This window comes from Homo sapiens, chromosome 2 (assembly GCF_000001405.40).
Source record: "Homo sapiens chromosome 2, GRCh38.p14 Primary Assembly".
In the NCBI taxonomy this organism is placed as follows: domain Eukaryota; kingdom Metazoa; phylum Chordata; class Mammalia; order Primates; family Hominidae; genus Homo; species Homo sapiens.
In genome coordinates, this window is record NC_000002.12 from 170,418,021 (window position 1) to 170,438,375 (window position 20,355).

Genomic DNA, 20,355 nt, shown 5'->3' on the forward strand with positions numbered 1-20,355 from the left:
AAGCCCTAGGCCTGGGTAAGGATGGGACCAGATTCCTGAGTTTAAATCACCCAGTCCAGTGGGTGTGCAGGAGGCTTCAGTGAGGTCACGTCCTAGTTTGACCTTCATGTCATTGCCAGCATATTGTCCCTAGTGAGTTGAGATTGCTCTCATTTGGGCCAAAAGAGCTAGGGAGCCCTGGTTTCCATGGCTGAGGGGCCTGTGTGTCTGGCTTGCAGGGCAGAGGCGGGCCCATGCTCTCCATACTCCCCTTGCCTTCCTGTGTTATTTCTGAGTCTGACAATAAAGCATTGTTGGTTTGTCTTCTACATAACTAAGCTGAGTTAAAATGCATCTTTTTATTAGCAGAGGCATTATTGTATTAATATCATCGCTACTAAATTTTCTCTTTGCAAAACTAGAATTTTAAGCTGGAATCTGGAGAAGTGTGATTTCCCTGGAAAAGAGTTTGTAGACCTCTTTGTTTGTGAAAAGTGCATCCCTAGGTCTTCATAAAAGCTCTAGCACCTAACTGAAAAATACAGGAGCTCTTAATAACAGCCAATGTTTACAACAGGGTGGAGTGTGGTGCTCGGTCCAGACCTGTTTTCCTGGAAATAAGGCCCATGATGAGAACAGAAGTCCCTGCACCTCACATTCTAAGTTCAGGAAAGGTCTAAGAGTTGTTACCTCCATCCCCTGGCCCTGGGCCACCTGGGGGCAAAGGGAGAGTATGCTTTTCCTCCCCCAAACTGGGGGAAGGAGGCAGTTCTCAAAAGAATCACTCATGAAATTTGGAGGCAATTACTTTAAAAAAAAAAAAAAGATGCTTACAATCTCATCCCCTAATTGGATACTTGCTTAGCTAGCAAAATATATAACCTTTCCCTTTGTAGGGGAAAAGGTAACTAGAGAGCAAGAGATGTCATAGTGGGGAACTGTCCCATTTTGAGTTTTCAGTTCTTCACAAAAATGGAGGGATCCTTTGTGAGCCTACAGCCCCACCATTGTCTGAGGACATAGAAGAAATCAAGTGCTACTGTCTCACTGGGAATCAGCACAAGGCAAAAAGATGCACACATTAGATGAATGTACTGTGAGAGTTGAGCTCAAGGTCAGTTAAAAGATGTAGCCAGTCTGGCAAGGGATCATATATTAGTTTGATATGGTGCTGGAGCAAATCCCCAGCTAGTGCTAGAACCTGTCAGCCTCCGAGGATCAGGACGTACTTTTCACAAATAAAGAGGTCTAGGAAACTCTTTATTTTATCTAGGGCTGCCAGAACAAATTAACACAGACTGAGCGGTTTAAACAATAGGCATTTGCTTCTCACAGTTCTGGAGGATAGAAGTTGGAGATCAAGTTGTCAGCAGGTTTGGTTTCTTGTGAGGCCTCTCTCCATGGCTTACTAATAAGGACACCAGTCATAATGGATTAGGACCCACTCTTACAGCCACATCTTAATTTACTGTCACCTCTTTAAAAACCCTATCTCCAAATACAGTCACATTCTGAAGTAGTGGGGGTTATTAGGGCTCCAACATGGGAATTATGGAGAAGAAACAACTCAGCTGGTAACAGATCACTAAGAGCTTGGGTAGCTGTTAAGTGTGAGCTCCTTAATTGTGGGGCATGTGGGGACTACCACCTTTCTTTATAAAGCCCAAGGACTACTGTGGCCACCTAGAGCGGCTCTGCAGCATCCCCAGTCAGAGAAGGAGAGCTCTGCCCCTCTCATCCCCACTCCCTCCGCCACACCTAGGGAGCTAGCCTAGAGAAGGTGAGCGGAGAGAAGAACCCTCCAAGCCCGTGAAAGCCATACATCCAGCCTGGGGGCAGAAGGAAAGTGGGGAAAAAGCTGCGAATTGATGTAACATTAAAGGTTAAAAACAAACAAGAATGAAGCCGGGTGTGGTGGCTCACGCCTGTCATCCCAGCACTTTGGGAGGCCGAGACAGGTGGATCACGAGGTCAGGAGTTCAAGACCATCCTGGCCAACATGGTGAAACCCCATCTCTACTAAAAATACAAAAATTAACTGGGTGTGGTGATGCATGCCTGTAGTCCCAGCTACTCGCGAGGCTGAGGTAGGAGAATTGTTTGAACAGGACCCGGGATGCGGAGGTGGCAGTGAGCCAAGATCGCACCACTGCATTCCAGCCTGGGCTACAAGAGGGAGACAGTCTCAAAAAACAAACAAACAAACAAACAAAACAAAAAACAGAAACAAACAAAACAAGAATGAATTATCAAAACCATAATAATATTTAATAACTGAAAAATCTATGAAATGGGACTATGCTACGGTTAAGGAGCTGCCATCTTCATAGAAAGCTGAGTCCACATGGGTGAGGGAAGTTAGAGGGAAAAGTGAAATTGTTTCTGGATTACCCACAGAGAACTGAGATGTCTCAGTATGCTGATTTCATGCCTAAGGCACAAGCAGAGAACCACAGAGCTTTTGCAGACCTGATCCTGGTAGGCTGGCAGGTTCTGTCACTAGCTGGGGATTTCTTCCAGCACCAGCCTGGAGTGGGTGACAGATTCTTGTCTCAGGGAAAGGGCAATGATACAGAGAGTCCCTTATGAATAATGGAACTAGCAAATGTTAATTACATGGGCTCCTCATCTTCATCAGTCTGCAGCTGGAGCTGTGCAATTCAGCACATTGGTCTAGCCAGCTGCACAGTCCTGTCTCATGTGACCATCTTGTCTGACTGAAAAGATCATAAGTGCCATGAGACCAGAAACTGGGTCTCCTGTTTCATTTATATACCAAACATGTAGTCAGTACTGGTCACATTACTTCACAGCCCCATGCTAATTCTGCTTTTTAGAATTACTTCTGCTCCCCACCGACACCCCTCATCACCACACCTCCCAACCCTGCCCTTCCTCTGCCTCCCCAACATTTTTGTGTTCAAAACTCAGTCCTAGCATCACCTCTTCCAGGGAGTTTCTAGTCTGGGTTGGGTAAAATTCCTGGTACCACTAGAATGTAAATTCCATTAGGACAGGGATTTTTGTCCATTTGGTTGGCACCTCTTTCCATCGTCTAGAGAGGAGTGTGACAGGAGGTGCTCAGAGAGTCTTTCTGTCCAGATAGAGAGTGCGATTTGTGGACGGTTTCCTGGTAGTGCTGGGAACACTTTGAAAGCACATCATAAATGTGGGTCATCCTGTGATTTATGGTGCTGGCAGGAAGCCCACCAGAATCAGATCTATTTTAATAAGTTGTGAAATTCAGAAGGCGCTCCATTCAGAACTTCATATTCTGAATGTAGAGAGATGAGTATGAAGCCCTTATTAGGACTCTTGCACCAGAGGAGTGCAGATGTAATTGCAGTTACTTCTGGCATCTGAAATCAATTGCTGGCCCCCTTCTTGGATTGGGCGGAGTGGGGCTTTCCCAGAAGCAAACAGTACACTTGTGGCTAAAGTACAGATCTTTAAGCACGAGAACCACGTACTCCCTTCACATTACAACTTCCCTCTTGGAACGTGGCTGCCCCGGGGTGCCACCCAGCCCTCTCCAGCCACCCTGACTGGACCGCATGTGAGGGTGAGTCCCACCTTACTGCCACAGCCTGCTGGGAGGACCAGAAGCTTTATCTGTGAGATGTTGTGAGGGCCGTGCCCTCTTCTGCCCTTGTCTTGGCCTCATCTGGACAGCCCCAGGAGGAACTTCACACCTTCCTGGCTCTTCCCCTGTTAATGGTTTTCAGCCCTTGTTTAGAAGAATCTGATTTTCTTTGTAAAGCTTATTGAGGGGAAAATACGTGTATGATGTGGCTGTGGGGTGAAAAGAGCATCCCTTGAAACTCTTGTTGCCTTTTTCCCCCATCCCTGAATGTTTTTAGGTTTTAATTTGTACTCTGCAAGTGCTGTCTTGTTTTTTGTTTAAGTATAGGTGGCTTAAGTGTTTCTTTCATTTTTAAAATTCTCCATGCAGTTTCTCCTACCCTCTCAGCTATGGTGGAATGAAGAACTCTGAACTGTAAGTCAGGAGATAAGCTAAGAGCTACCTGAACTGGTACTTTGCATCTGGCAGATTTGATTTAAAGTTCTGAGCAGCTTCCACATCTGCAAATTGAGGGGTGTGCATTAAGAAGAGCCTCCAGATTAGATGGGACCTTAAAATTGAACAGACCAACCCCTAATATCTCTAGACCAGATGTTCAGTCTTGAGTTGCTTTGTTGTTGTTGTTGTTGTTGTTTAAGGAAATGGGGTCTCACTCTGTTGCCAAGGCTGGAGTACAGTGGTATCATCATAGCTCACTGCAGCCTGGAACTCCTGGGCTCAAGCAGTCCCCCTGCCTCAGCCCCCCAAGTAGTTGAGATCACAGGCATGAGCCACTGCACCTGCCTGATTTACTCTGGTTTGGAAGTGTTTACTTGGCTCTCTTTAGAAAACCTTATGGGACAGTGCTATACAATGAAATGTAAAATGTTCTATTAGCCACTTTTTTTTTTTTTTGAGATGGAGTCTCTCTCTGTTGCCCAGGCTGGAGTGCAGTGGCTCGATCTCGGCTCACTGCAGCCTCTGCCTCACAGGTTCAAGCGATTCTCCTGCCTCTGCCTCCCAAGTGGCCAGGATTACAGGCTTGCACCACCTTGCCCAGCTGATTTTTGTATTATTAGTAGAGGTGGGGTTTCACCATGTTGGCCAGGCTGGTCTCAAACTGACCTCAGGTGATCCACCCGCCTTGGCCCCCCAAAGTGCTGGGATTACAGGTATGAGCCACCATACCCAGCAGCCACATTTTTTTAATTAGCCACATTTTAAAAGTAATAAATAACAAGTCATTGAAATTAATTTCAATAATAGATCTTCATATATCAAAAGTATTATTCAACATGTAACCAATATAAAAGTTATTGAAATAGTTTACTTTTTTTGTACTAAGTCTTCAAAATCTGATGTGCATTTTATATCTATGGCACATTTCTATTTAGACCAACCATATTTCTTTCTTTCTTTTTTTTTTTTTTTTTTTTTGAGACAGAGTTTCACTCCTGTTGCCAAGGCTGGAATGCAATGGCATGATCTCAGCTCACTGCAACCTCCGCCCCCCAGGTTCAAGTGATTCTCCTGCCTCAGCCTCCCAAGTAGCTGAGATTACAGGTGCCCACCACCACACCCAGCTAATTTTTTGTATTTTTAGTAGAGATGGGGTTTCACCATGTTGGCCAGTCTGGTCTTGAACTCCAGACCTCAGGTGATCCACCCACCTTGGCCTCCTAAAGTGCTGGGATTACAGGTGTGAGCCACCGTGCCCAGCCTAATCCAGCCACATTTCATATGTGCAGTAGCCACCATATCGAGTAGCATGACTGCAGAGGATCGCTGCATCGGCCACAGAAGTGCCTCATTCCTGCTCTCAAAGAGAAATGCAGAAATGCCAAGGAGCCCTTCTTGTTGATCCTCCCAAAGAAAATAAAGTGAGGTGGGGTAGCACAGAATAATTCTGCAGATTGGCTTCTTCATAAAATATTTATTTTCTTGTGTACAGACTTGACTTCAGATTATCTCCCAGTGTGTAAGAGACATTATTGTTCCCGGATTTGCAGAGTTTCAGCAAAAGCTTTTTTTTTTTTTTTTTGAGACAGAATTCACTCTCACCAGGCCAGAGTGCAGTGGTGCGATCTCAGCTCACTGCAACCTCCGCCTCCTGGGTTCAAGTGATTCTCCTGCCTCAGCCTCCTGAGTAGCTGGGACTACAGGCGTGCACCACCACACCCAGCTAATTTTTGTATTTTTAGTAAAGACGGGGTTTCACCATGTTGGCGAGGATGGTCTTGGTCTCTTTACTTCGTGATCCGCCTGCCTTGGCCTCCCAAATTACTGGGATCATAGGCATGAGCCACCGTGCCCAGCCCATAGCAAAAGCTTTTTAGCAGTTTCCTTTGTTCTTTTTGGAGAGATAGAAGTGTTCCATATTATCAGTACTGAGCAATGTTTTCCAAAGTGTTTTTCTTGAAACACCAAATTTGTGTGGTGTTAAGAGGTGTGAGCTGAATAAGATTTCCATGACCAAAAAGCGTGGGGAAGGAACATTGTTTATGAATATCCAATAGGTATCTTTACTGCAGAAATACCAAGAGATGGCTCCCGTGTACCAGACATCCAAAATCAGTGAGATCCTTTTTGTGAGAAGCACCTTGAGGGTCAAGAATCATGTGGGACCTGCTAAGGTAATGCTGATCAGATGATCTTCCTGAGTTCCTTTTCCAGGACATCCTTCCAGTGTGGATCTTAAATCCATTTCCAAAAGTTCCTCTTGCCTTCCTGGCTCTAAGGCCCTGTTGCTACTGTGTCTTTGAAAAAGAAAAACTAGGCCAGGCACGGTGGCTCACGCCTATAATCCCAGCACTTTGGGAGGCCGAGGTGCATGGATCACAAGGTCAAGAGTTTGAGACCAGCTTGGCCAACATGGTGAAACCCCGTCTCTACCAAGAATATAAAAATTAGCTGGGCATGTTGGTGCGTGCCTGTGGTCCTGGCTACTCGGGAGGCTGAGGCAGGAGAATCGCTTGAACCAGGGAGGTGGAGGTTGCAGTGAACCAAGATTGCACTCCAGCCTGGGCAAAAGAGGAAGACTCCGCCTCAAAAAAAAAGAGAAAAAGAAAAACTAAAACAAACTTTAATAATGAGTTATGATAATGACTCTAACCTTGGGAAAATTAGTGTCTATTGTGAATCAGATTCACCATCTTCCCCTAACACATTTTAATAGTTCTCTTATAGGTCCTGAATAAGACAGTGAATGTATATTTTAAGTGGAAGTTCAATTTAGAGCCATTTGGTTTTATTTCTTTAATGATCCTGCTAAGTATAGAAAACATAGCAGCTTTGATTTTTCGAATGGTCAGAATACAAGAAAAAGAAATTCTGCTTCTCTCTGCCAGCATCCTTCTCATTCATAGAAAAGAAAAATGTTCCCATTTGAGATGAAAGATTCTTTACTTTTTCCATATTTATTTCATATTTCAATAGCTCATATTGGAGAAAAGGTCTCAAAGCCATTTATACTTTATTAAGTCATCCCACTCTAAAATCTTTTTATAATGAGGCTTTCAGGTCATTTCCCTCCCTTAGTAACAGATACCTCCTGGCACTTTAAATGAAATACATTAGAAACAAAGCCATTCTAATTATCATCTCTCTACTTAAAGATGGAATAAAACTTAACATTTTTCCCCAGGAATTTAGGTCATGTTAATAGAAACTGTATTTTTCTTTTTAGAACACAAGACTGCCTTCTAACAGTCTGGTCCATATGTTAGAAGCATATAAAGTTAATCATTTTGCTTTGGTGCCAACGTGTTGTGTGCAAAGAGAAGCTGTAAACCACAGCTGTGTGGAGTAACAATTGTGAACTTTACTGGCTTGCACATGTGAGTCATCAGTAAACTAAATTAAATGTTGCTTAACTGAACTTGAGAGCTGGAGGTTGTAAGGGAAGACTGCTAAGATTTTATTAAAGTTTGAATTTAGTAGAGTGGTTCCATCTTTGCATTTCGCAAGGGACTTCAAGTTATACAAAAATCAAATCAACTGTTGTCCAGATGATTAGGTTTTTTGGCTTCTCCATAACAATAGTGATTGCCAGGTAATCAATGGGAATCACTGTTCAGTTGACCTAGTTTGGTGTGTAAACAGCCAAAAAAAATCCAGACATCCTCTAAAATCAACTGGGCCCAATTAGTTTGGCCAGGCAGCAATCCCATCAGCTACTCAGTAGTCTTCCTTGCATAAGATCAAAATCCCTGAAATGATTACAGTGTAATTGGAGCATCTTGATAGGTTCTCTGAGCGTTACTACTTAGTGCTATGACCTTGAGCAAGAGTCTTGAATACTCGGCCTCAGTTTTATGTCTTTGTGGACTGGTGACATGGCTCACAGGGTTGTTGTATTAAGTAATTCATTTTAAAACATTTAGCATGGTATGTACAACATTGTAAACCCTCAAAAAATGTTAGTATTTAAGTATTGTTAAATATTTTTTGATCTGGAGCAGAGTGATAAATATGAGACAAAAGTAAGTAGATTTCCACATTTATTTTCTTAATCTCTGATTTTTTTTTTTTTACAATAAAGCAGTAGATAACATTTGTTTATTCTCTTTTTCCTTTTGCTCTGTCTTTTGTTGAGAGTTTGAGATTTCTGTGTTTACCTTAAGAAGATAAACAGGGGGTGCTGGGGCTCATGCCTGTAATCACAGCTACTCAGGAGGCTGAGGCGAGAGGATTGCTTGAGCCCAGGAGTTCGAGACTGCAGTGAGCCACGATTGTGCCACTGCACTCTAGCCTGGGTGACAGAGCAAGACCTCATCGCTTTTTTTTTTTTTTTGAGATGGAGTCTCTCTCTGTCACCCAGGCTCGAGTGCAGTGGCGCGATCTCAGCTCACTGCAAGCTCTGCCTCCTGGGTTCACGCCATTCTACTACCTCAGCCTCCTGAGTAGCTGGGACTACAGGCACCCACCACCATGCCCGGATGATTTTTTTGTATTTTTAGTAGAGGCGGGGTTTCACCATGTTAGCCAGGATGTAAATATAATCTGTCTCTAGGTGGCAAGGGTAGAAACATTCTAAAATGTTCTTCTAGTTCATTGTAACTTTTTCTTTTCTTTATTGTCTATGTGAAGGATAAGCAAAGGGCACTTGGCAAGTCTTACGCAGTAGCTGAAGAAATATTTTTTGAATTAATGAATGGGAGTAGAAATAGATACTTAGGGCCAGGCGTGGCAGCTCACACCTGTAATCCCAGCACTTTGGGAAGCCAAGGCAGGCGGATCATGAGGTCAGGAGTTCGAGACCAGCCTGGCCAATATAGTGAAACCCCGTCTCTACTAAAAATACAAAAAATTAGCCAGGCGTGGTGGCATGCGCCTGTAATCCCAGCTACTTGGGAGACTGAAGCAGGAGAATTGCTTGAACTGGGAGGCGGAGGATGCAGTCAGCCGAGATTGCGCCATTGCACTCTAGCCTGGGTGATAGTGCGAGACTCAGTCTCAAAAAAAAAAAGAAAAGAAATAGATACTTAGTACCTGGCTTCAAAGAGGTTGTAACATCTATAAGGAGCCAAATCATTTCTAAAGATTAATACTAATATAAGATAGCATATTTGCATTGAGTTTAAAGGACTCAGACACAATTGTACTGACTACCTGCAACCTCTAGAATTAGTGTAGAGTTGTGATGCTTGTAGAGTTCCTTCATCAGATAAATAATCTTTGTTGGCCTTTATTCTCAATAGGTTTCACTCTTTCAAAAAAAAATCAGTAATTGCATCGCAAGTCTGTCAGATAATACTTTAATTTAGAAAGTCTTTTTGAAATCAGTTAGTTTGGATAATACAGCATTACAGTTCCATAAAGCCAAGGTCTCCAAAAATCAATGCCTGTGCTTAAGAATGTAAGTTACATTAACTTCATTCTTTAACACCATGAAACATATAAATTTCAATGGAAGAAGTGTTTCTGGGCACTGGCGTTTTATGAACGGGTTATACATATATCTATAAGAAATGTGTGTGCATGGGTGTTCAGAAACATTATAACAATGTAGTTTAGATATGAGTAATGCTGGCCAATTGGGCACATGCAAGTTTGGTTTCCTGTGGAATACTACCTATTTCAGTATGCCTCTCCTTATTTTCTGGATTCTTAAGTTGCTATAGTTTTTCCCAAGGATATATACATATACATGGATGTTTATACTAGGTTCTTTTATAAAAGAGCTAGTGACATGGAATAGTCATTCTTTAAAATATAACAAAAATAACTGGTAAATGTGAAAATTAGACTTGGATACCTATATATCAAAAGCTACCCTTGAGTACTTTCAGAGACCCAATAGGAAAAAAAAGCTCGTATAAGTGATTATTGCCTTCACATTAGCACCCAGTTTTTCAAAATGGCTGGTACTTGCCAATATGCAAACAGAAGCATAATGTTTTACTAGGAGAATAGATGTTATAAAGATGTTGAAAAATGAACACCTTGAATTCATTAATCTTAAAAACATTGCAGAAAGGGAGCAAAAAACTATGCCTCTGTCTCCTCTCACGTGCTAAGAAACAAGAATGATATTAAAAAATTAGAGAACTGAATAAGCTTACCTTAGCCACAATAGCAAAGTAAAGGAGGAGGAATAACTGAAGAGATCATAGCAACAGAGCCATTGCTGGTTGCCTGTGTTAGCTGTGAAGAGAACATTGGCAAATTAAATATCCAGGCCTCTGTAAAACCACTATCTAAGCTTCCTCCATTTATCTAAGCGAGGCTATCATCACCACCCACTTCTTCTGTTGCCTACTGAACTGCTAAGAAATAATACATTTTGCAGATTTTAGTTTTATTGTCTTTATTTTGTTCTTTCTTATTTCCCCCACTTCAGGGGTCTTTTAGGAGATATTTCACAACTATAGATAAAATTTCAGAGCTGGATGGAAGCCTAACAATACTTAACTTTTTTTACTCCAACTTGCATCTAGTTATTGCACTTACGTGTTTCCTTGTTGTTCAGCGTGTTGTTGATTTTTGAACAATACTGTTTACTTCCTTGATTAGCTCTCTGATTTATAGCTTAGGTAAAGCTCACACATGTCCTGGCCACAGATATCACACAATATTTTATTTTGGCACCAGGTTGACATTACACACTGTTCGTTGTAGTTCCATTTCAGAGAACAGTCCACCCCCATCTACACCACATGCCTGGCATTGATCTAGGTGAAGCTACATAGCCACAAAGGGTGTTCATTATGGACACCATGACGGAATGCCATGACACACAAGTGCAGAACCACTGATCTTCTCAAACTCCTCATTTGACATATAATACAAATGAGTCATAAAGAGTAGACATGATCTCCTTAAGTCAGTGGCAGGTGTGGGATAGGAATCCAAGTTTCTCACTTTCCAGTGTCCTTTTCATTGCTTCCATGCTAAAGAGGGAAACTCAAAAAAGCAGTTATAGTTCCAAGCACTGAATCATAATCCTGCACAATGGGAAGCTAACAGCGTCTTGTTTGCTGAAGCCCTGTGTAACTTTCTCAGGCTTAAAAACACAAGGAAGCATAGGTGTTGCGGGAAATTATATGACTGACCTACCACCAATAGATAAGGTATGTTGTGCAAATCTTCTAGGGAGGGATTTTTTAATTTGCAGTGATCAGTTGATTTGCTCCTGCCTGAGCATTTTATTTAGGATTCTATTCTTAGACTGTGGAATGTAACTTCTCTGTATGAAACTACCTGACCCATATGAGATTTTACTTAAGACTTTGGCCATATCAGCACTATTTTAACTGGAATGAGTCTCCTAGTAGCTCGTATCCAAACCATCCACCTTTGGCCACACAGATGAATGGGCATTCTACCTGAAGGCCACCTGAAGAGCAGAACAAGCTTTTGTTCCCAGTCCCACCAGTGACTTATGATACCTTAGCAAAGCCTTCTTCCCCATATTTTCTTCCCCCTAAAACTGTCCCCACAGGTGGTATTTTCACTGGAAGGGAGTGGTGAGTAACTTGTTTTTATGTTTGCAAGGGTAAAATAATAAATGTTTTAATGCTATTATTAAATGTCTAATTTTAAAATAAGAAGCCTCCTAGAAATTTGTCTTACAAGCTCTCTGGAACTCTCTGGAACCCTCAGGTTTACATTCTGTATCTGTCTTGCGCATGTCTTTCAGATAGAATACCTTCCATTTCCTGTCAAACTCATGTTAAGCTTTCACAATCTAGCTCATTCATTGACTACTCTTCAGTTTTTGTTTTCCTCATCCTCTCATGAAAACTTAGTATTCTGTCCCCTTGTGTCACTTTATTCAGAGATTTATTCTAACACTCACCAGTTTCAATCGCAATGAATTGTTTATATGTCAGCCTTTCCCCTTCCCCCCAAGAGCTTCTCTGGGCTGTCTTCTCCTTAAAACAAAGAACTGTATAGTTGGCTCTTGAACAATGTTGGTTTGAACTGTGCAGGTCCACTTATACACAGGTTTTTTTTTTTTTTTTCAAACAAATGCAGATAAAAAATACAATATTGGTTGGATGCAAAACTGCATATATGGAGGGCCAACTTTTCATATATGTGGGTTCTTCAGGGCTGAGTGCGTAGGTTTTGGTATACTAGGGGGTACTAGAATGAATCCCTCATATATACTAATTGCATTCTATTCATCTTTATAAGACCCATAGAAGGCCTTTACTGTATTATTTCAAAGTATGAATAACATGAGCATCATTAAACAAAAGGTCCCCTATTTCAAAACTGTCCCCCTTACCTGGACACTAGATCATCTACAGGTTTTCAACATTCCCATCAATAGAATCATTCCATAAAAATTTTTTTTTCTGGATAGCTTTTTTTTTTTTTTTGAGACGGAGTCTAGCTCTGTCACCCAGGCTGGAGTGCAGTGGCATGATCTCAGCTTACTGCAATCTCCGCCTCCTGGGTTCGAGGGATTCTCCTACCTCAGCCTCCTGAGTGACTGGTATTACAGGTGCGTGCCACCATGCCCAGCTTATTTTTGTATTTTTAGTACAGATGGGGTTTTACTGTGTTATCCAGGCTGGTCTTGAACTCTTAACCTCATGATCTGCCTGCCTCGGCCTCCCAAAGTGCTGGGATTACAAGCATGAGCCACCGCGCCTGGCCTAGATAGCTTCTTATACCATATAAACATCTCACCTGAGTGAATTAATAAATTTCTTTGTCCATTAACAAATTACACCTGGATTAAGTATCAGAAGAATAGTAACCTGAAGGTTTGGAACAAAAACAAAAGGAGATTTGATGAGAATATGGAGGAGGTGTGTACTGCATGGAAAAGTTCAAGGGTGGGACAATGAAGTAGGGGGAATTAGATATTGGGATAGGGAGGAGACAGCATTAAAGCCATGTTGCACCTTCAGAAGTGGAAATAGAGAGGTGAAAAGGGATGTGGGGAATTTGAATACATCCTTTGCCTAAATTATGATTTTGCCCAGGACCATCCCTGATTGCTCTGAGATTGGAATAAGCCATTCTCACACCTCATGACATGGGTGCTGACAGACATGTGTATGTGGCTTTTATTTTATTGTATTTTTAAATGGGTCAGGTCTTCTTGGGTAGATATTGGGTAGATGTCAGTAGTATAGGCTCTTGTACTTTTGTGAACACACATCAGGCCATGTGACAGCCATATTATTTTCAAGCAAACTCCACCAAGAAAATAATGGGAAGAGCTTTCTTCATCTGGCTCTAAAAGGAAATTCTCCTCGTTAAAAGAGACTGACCTACTGCCGACGTGGCAATAAAATGCAGAAAACAGAGCAACTCCACTATTGACTGTGTTAGGAAAGAGAAGCCTTGTTAGCTCCTTGAAACAGTCTGGGATTCAGTATAGTTGTTTGCTGGACTGACATCCTGTTTATGAGTTTTAAAGCTTAAGGAGAAAGGAAGGAGTTAACTATTTTTTCCCTAGCTCTACAATTTGAGATCTCTGGGTCACAAATCTTTAAAGCTGTAGTTTATATTCTAAAGAAAAAAGTCAGTGAAAACATTGGTTTGGCTTTCTTTAAGCAAATAGTGTAAAGGTGTTAATTATGCAGAAATTCCTTAAAATGCCAGACAATTACCAATTAAAAGTCAATACAGTAATAGGGAAGGGATTTCTTTGGGGCTTTGAATTTGCCACATGCAAGATAAAGTTGTAGATTCAGAAAAGAGAGTGAATTTGTTATCTGTGCATACCTTTCTTCAATAAAACCGATGGGAGGATAGTCTGGTCTCTTACTTACTCTTGATTCCTTCCCTCCACAAAACTACAATCCCTTCTATATACAGTTATGCATCACATAATGACATTTCAGTCAATGACAGACCACATATACAACTGTGGTCCCATAAGATTACAATGCAGCTGAAAAATTCCTATTGCCTAGTGATGTCCTAGCCTTTGCAATGCATTACTCAGGTGTTTGTGGTGATGCTGATATAATAAGCCTACTGCTTTGCCAGTTGTATAAAATATAACAGATACAGTTATGTGCAGTACATAGCACTGAATAATGATAATAAACAACTATATTACTGGTTTACGTATGTGCTATAGTAGGCTTTTAAGTTATTATTTTAGCATGTACTCCTACTTATTTTTTTTTAAGTTAACTATAAAACTGCCTCAGGCAGGTTCTTTAGGAGGTATTCTAGAAGAAACCATTGTGATTATAGGAGATGGCAACTCCCTGTGTGTTATTGCCCCATAGACCTTACAGTGGGATAAGATGTGTGGAGGTAGAAGACAGTGATATTGATTATCCTGAAACTGTGTAGGCTTCAGCTAGTATGGGTGTTAGTGTCTTTGTTTTTAATTAAAAAATTAAAAAGTAAACAAAAAAATCTTAAAAATTTAAAAAGGCTTATAGAATTAAGATATAAAGAAAATATTTTTGTACATCTTACAATGTGTGTTTTAAGCTAAGTGTTATTTCAAAAGAGTCAAAAAATTTTAATATTTTAAAAGTTTGTGAGGTAAAAAAAGTTATGGTAAGTGGTTAATTTATTATTTAAAAAAAAAGAAATTTTTTTTTTTTTTTGAGACGGAGTCTTGCTCTGTTGCCCAGGCTGGAGTGCAGTGGCACGATCTCGGCTCACTGCAAGCTCCGCCTCCCGGGTTCGCACCATTCTCCTGCGTCAGCCTCCCAAGTAGTTGGGACTACAGGCGCCTGCCACCATGCCCGGCTAATTTTTGTATTTTTAGTAGAGACAGGGTTTCACCGTGTTAGCCAGGATGGTCTCGATCTCCTGACCTTGTGATCCACCTGCCTCGGCCTCCTAAAGTGCTGGGATTACAGGCGTGAGCCACCATGCCCGGCCAAAAAAGAAATCTTTTGTATAAATTTAGTGTAGCCTAAGTGTGCAGTATTTATAAAGTCTACATTAGTGTACAGTAATGTACACTAATGTACTAATGTACAGTGAATGTAATGTCCTAGGCCTTCACATTCACACATCACTCACTCACTCACTGACTCACCCAGAGCAACTTCTAGTCCCTGCAAGTCTCATTCATGTTATGTGCCCTATATAGGTGTACTGTTTTTTTACATTTTATACCATATTTTTACTGTACCTTTTCTATGTTTAGATACACAAATACTTTCCATTGTGTTATAATTGCCTATAGTATTCCATACAGCAACATGCTATACGGGTTTTTAGCCTAGAAGAAATAGCATAGCCCAGGTGTGTCAACCAAAACAAAACAAAAAAAAGAGAAAATTATCCATAAATATGCTGGGTTTACTTAGGAATAAAAATAAGGATTATAATCTGGAATGGTATAAAATGGCAAGCCACCAGTGCATTCAGTGAGGGAAGGGTAAGGGGAGGTTTTATTAGCAAAAAGAGATTTATATAAGCTGCTTAGAAATAGAGTTCATTGGTTCCAGAAGTTCAAAGCCAGAGTTGTCAGTTCACTGGTGGAGATACTGTTACTGGGCAAGTGTTCTTCTGAGAATATCTTAACTGAATTACTTCAGTCCTATAGAATGCCTAGTAATAAACCTTATCAAAGTGGGAGATGCATGAAGGATGCAAAAGGGTTTTTTGTGGGGTTTTTAGAAAGTCCTTGGAAACAGTTCTTATCTCAGACATGTAAGCATGAGCCTCTTCTTTTTCGGGCCTTCCCAGCCCTATCTTGTCTGGGTCTGACAAAAGTGATTTCATCCTGTATCTGTAACTTTCACAATGTGCAGAGGCTATACCATCTAGGTTTTTGTAAGTACGCTCTATGCTGTTCACATAATGACAAAATTCCTTATGACTCTTTTCTTACAATATATCCCTGTCGTTAAGCAGCACAGCACGTGACTGTATATAAATTATCCATGTTCTTTTCATAAGACATTAGGTCATGTCCAAGTGGGCTGGGAACTCTTCCATCCTGCTCTGCCCATTTATTGATATTAACGTGAAAGCTGTAGATAAATGCTAAGGGAGAAAGTAAAAACTGCAGAACAAAATTTAACATTACACATGATCTCCTTTTCTTGGCTTCCTACAGCTGTGTCATATTTTGTGGCTATCTTAAGTTACTTCAATTTATCGAATCTAAAATAAATCCTTCTTATAAATTTAGGAGAGATGGTTATGTGAAGATGAACTAAGATTTTTTAGTATACAAAATACTATAGGTTTGTGTTTTTTTGAGAATGGGTCTTGCTCTGTTGCCCAGGCTAGAGTACAGTGGTGTGATCATGGCTCACTGCAGCCTCAACCTCCCGGGCTCAACTTGTTATATATAAAGTTTTGGTGCTGCAAAAGGAATAGCACTCGAATATAAAATTTTCTTTTTGATTCTCAGCAAGGCAAGGTACTTCTGTATAGAAGGGTTCACCCTTACAGATGGAACAATGGTGAGCGCACACTTGGACAAGGGAGGGGAAGGGGTTCTTATTCCTGACGCACGTGGCCCCTGCTGCTGTGTCATTCCCCTATTGGCTAGGGTTAGACCACACAGGCTAAGCTAATTCTGATTGGCTAATGTAAAGAGAATGACGGGTGAGTGCTTTAGTGGGAGTCAGGGCAGAGAAGGTAGCAGGTAATTGGAATGAGTTAGGGTGGAGCAGGTGATCAGAATGAGTCAGGGTGGAGTAGGTAATTGAAAAAGGTTGCTTTACGAGGAAGTTAAGTTTAGAAGGCAAAGAATTGAACATACTGACATATTCTTTGAAAAGAAATTTAGAACTCATATCTAACAAACAGATCCTACCACTTCAGCCTCCTAAGTAGCTGGGACCACAGGCGTGGCACCACGCCCAGTTAATTTTTAAAACTTTTTGTAGAAATGGGGTCTCACTATGTTGCCCAAGCTGGTCTCAAATTCCTGGGCTTAGGTGATCCTTCCACTTGGACTCCCCAGATTCTGGGATTACAGGTGAGAGCCACTGTACTTAGCTACTATAGTATTTTTTATAGTATGTTTGTATACAACTATGTACTGAATTTAACTCCTTGCATTTTTGTTAGCTACAGTGTTATAAACTGAAATTGGAACATGTTAATTACTGCAAGTATTGCACTAGCGTAGGTCTGTCTCAAGCTTGCTCCCAAACATTACCAGCCCAACTCACTGATAAGATAAAGTGGAGGTTATTGCTTCCCACCACCTCTCAAAGCTTTGGCAATGTCTTGGAGAAGGGAAGTCAAGGTCAGAGTTTGTTGAGAAATCGTTTATTTTTAGGAGGGTCTTTCAAAGTGAGGGCCTTTGATTAGGACTGGGTAAGGATCATAGTGCAGCAGTCCAGGGCTGGTGGAAACAGCAAGGGGAGGACTTTGAAAGGAGAGATGATAGGAATCATAGGTAATGAACTGTCAGGTTGATCCTTTCCATGGAAGAGCTGATGAGTCTTTCAGGAAGTTTCTGTAATGAGCAATCTAACCATTTGCCTGGGCTTGGAGACTCCTGAAAAAAGAAAGTCCTACTAATGGAGACAGGAATTACACAAAGTCATCGTATTGTAGACAGTAAGATGTGGTTTCCGTTCTCAGTGTCTAAGCTGAATGTGGGCTACGTGGTTTCAGTTCTCAGGTCTACTGCGATATAACTTAATCTTGTAACAGATGAACTGAAGCATCTGATTTTTATTTACTGCTCCTTATCTTTGTAGCTATTTGACACAAACAGCTTTTTACATTTCAGCATTGCTTTGCAATCATTTCTTAGTTTATTAGCCTATTTCTTGTGTTTGGAGAGAAAATTAAAATCGGAAAATTTCTCAAACAAATGCCCACCAACAATCACCACTGGAACCCAGCTACAAGTCCTATAAACCCAGAGGGTGCAGCAGAGGGAGACTGAATTCTATGTTTGATTATTTAATACAACAACCTGTCCTTTGGGGCAGTTAGTAAAAGATGACTACAGGTGACACCCTGGGTTCTGGGTACTTTCCAAGCAAGGAAAATCCTCTGAAGCAGGCGGAAAATTGCCGTCTTTTAAAAGTTCCAGCTCTGTCTTCAGACCACTTGTGTCTTTTCTTTTAAGTTGGAAGCAGGGAAATTGTGTGAGATCTTTGTAATCTCCAATTCAGATTCTCTCTTAACACAGTTCCCACATAGGATATAAATTCCATTAGATGCCTCTGACTTCCGTTTTCTCCTTCCAACACAGGACACATGTTGGTAGTTGCAGTTTTGAGAAGCACAGAAGGGTGTTCTGGGGCAATGAGCAATGCTTAGCTGGGAGGAGGCTGTCTAGGGGGTGAAGCACTGAGGATGCTTAACATTTGAAAGAAGTGTGAACACTATTTACATTTAAATTAAAATGGAAACTTTGGTTATGTTTCTGAAAGGTGTGTGTGCGCATCTGCTGAGGTCTATTGTTTATTCATGCTGTAAATCCTTTGAAATGTGTTAAAATGCTTCCCACTCATTATAAAGCTCCTGCCACCCCTGGATTACGACTTTGATGTCACCAATCCTGCTTCAAAGGGTTCTTTCTGGGCTATTAATCACAGTTTAGCCTCTGAAGATATCGCCAGAGAAAACATTTGGACATCTTTGTGCTAGACTTGCTGAAACTTTGAAATCTTGAGCATCTTGCATATGCACAAATTGCAGCACTTCCTTTCATTAACAACTTTTTATTTTGCTACAGAATCAAATGACACTGTAGGTAAAAATGCAAACAAATCTCTTCACACACTTGGTTTGGGGGAAGAACAATCAGAGAAGTGGTGAAGGGTGTGTGGGGTAGTGAACAGGCCATTCAGACTCTTCAAAGGTAAAAAGTGGGAGGAATCTGAGTAGCCAAGAGTTGCCCTATCATTTTTTCTCACCTTTCATAGTTTTTTTGACTAGCCAGTGATCACACAGAGATTTGGTGCGATTTCCTGGTCTTTTCTTGCTCTCTCCTTTGAGACCTTTGTGAACAGTTCACAGCAAATAATAATAAAATACTACCTAATGTGAAATGAATAGTTGCCCTGCTCTAGTCCTGTGTTGGCAGTGCTTTTTGTAAGTTGTCTTGTTGAATCCCCATAATAACTCTTATGGGAGGAAAACAGGTGGTACTGTTTTCTTATTATGGACTAGGAAACTGAGGCTTTGAGAAGTCAACTTGTTCAAAGTCACACTCCTGACAAATGCAAAGCCCTGCAAAACTTCATTGGCCCCCAGGACTCAGAAGCTGCTGTCTCCCACTCCCTACCCCACTGATTCACTGGGGGTGGCCAGGTTTCTCCTTACGTGCAGAGAGATTGATGGGGTTTAGGGCTCACTGTCCCAAAATATGGCCCCTTGACCTATTGAATATTTTAAGCTGAAGGAATTTGAGAAAATGACAGATGCAGGAATGTCACTCTTAGCCCCCACCCCCTTCTCCCTTGAAGCAGGTCATAAAATCTAGGAAGGTTTTTTCTGACCTTCTCCTAAAGCAGGCTGTAAGACTCTCATGTAGGAGCTGCTCTTCCTATACCCACAGAAAAGAAGCGTCTTTATCTCTGCGGACACAAGGACACAGAGAAGAATCTGAACAAATAGGCCTTGCTAAGTTTCATTAGTTTCTTACCATTAGATGATACTTTTTCCTATCATATTTCTTTACTACTCTCCTTTTTGTTTCCTTATAAAGGCTCTAGTGTCAACTAAAACTTACATTAAGTAAATTTTTATGCTTTTCACTTAGTAATCTGTCCTTTGTTATAAGTGCCTCAACCATGAACCTAGGATGGGTAGAGAAAAAGATATTTTTCCTCCCCTGAAGGATCCTTACTGCCCAGTCTACTAATCAGTGTCTGTGTCCTCAACCCTCACAATGGCGCGCTCTATCGTCTAACTTCTTTCTCGGGAAAACTTCCTTCAGCACCTTTTTTCTTCCATATTCATCTTTTTCAATGATTAGCAGTGTCCCAGTTGGAGACTTTTTCTTGTTGTTGCAGTAAAAAATATATATAACATGAAATCTCTCTTTTTAAGTATACAATACAGTATCAAATATGTGCACAGTTTTGCACAGCAGATCTCTAGAATTTTTTCATATTATGTGACTAAAACTCAATACCCACTGAATAGCCACTCCCACTTCCTCGTGTCCCCAGCCACTGACAGCTACCATTCTACTCTCTGCTTTTGTGAGTTTGACTACTTTTGATATCTCATGTAAGTGGAATTGTGCAGTGCTGTGTTGCTGTGACTGGCTTATTTCACTTAGCCTAACGTCCTCCAGGTTCATCCATGTTGTAGTGTATGGCAGGATTTCCTTGTTTTTTTTTAAGGCTGGGTATTCAATTGTATGTATATATCAAATGTTCTTTATCCATTTAACTGTTGATAGGCATTTAGTTTGTTTATACTTCTTGGCCCTTGTGAATAAT

At 41.1% G+C, this 20,355-nt stretch overlaps 1 protein-coding gene across 11 annotated transcripts in view, besides 2 other annotated features; it reads left to right on the forward strand.

The window, feature by feature from the left end:
• MYO3B (myosin IIIB) overlaps nucleotides 1-20,355 on the forward strand; it is a 477,021-nt gene that overhangs the window by 239,874 nt on the left and 216,792 nt on the right. The window lies entirely within an intron of this gene.
• Nucleotides 17,597-18,242: an enhancer, noted in NCBI's record as "OCT4-NANOG-H3K27ac hESC enhancer chr2:171292127-171292772 (GRCh37/hg19 assembly coordinates)". NCBI's record gives its function as "activates a minimal SCP1, AML or CMV promoter by ChIP-STARR-seq in naive and primed H9 embryonic stem cells {active_cell/tissue: H9 hESC(naive and primed)}" and the evidence as "EXISTENCE:reporter gene assay evidence [ECO:0000049][PMID:30033119]".
• Nucleotides 18,243-18,888: an enhancer, noted in NCBI's record as "OCT4-NANOG-H3K27ac hESC enhancer chr2:171292773-171293418 (GRCh37/hg19 assembly coordinates)". NCBI's record gives its function as "activates a minimal SCP1, AML or CMV promoter by ChIP-STARR-seq in naive and primed H9 embryonic stem cells {active_cell/tissue: H9 hESC(naive and primed)}" and the evidence as "EXISTENCE:reporter gene assay evidence [ECO:0000049][PMID:30033119]".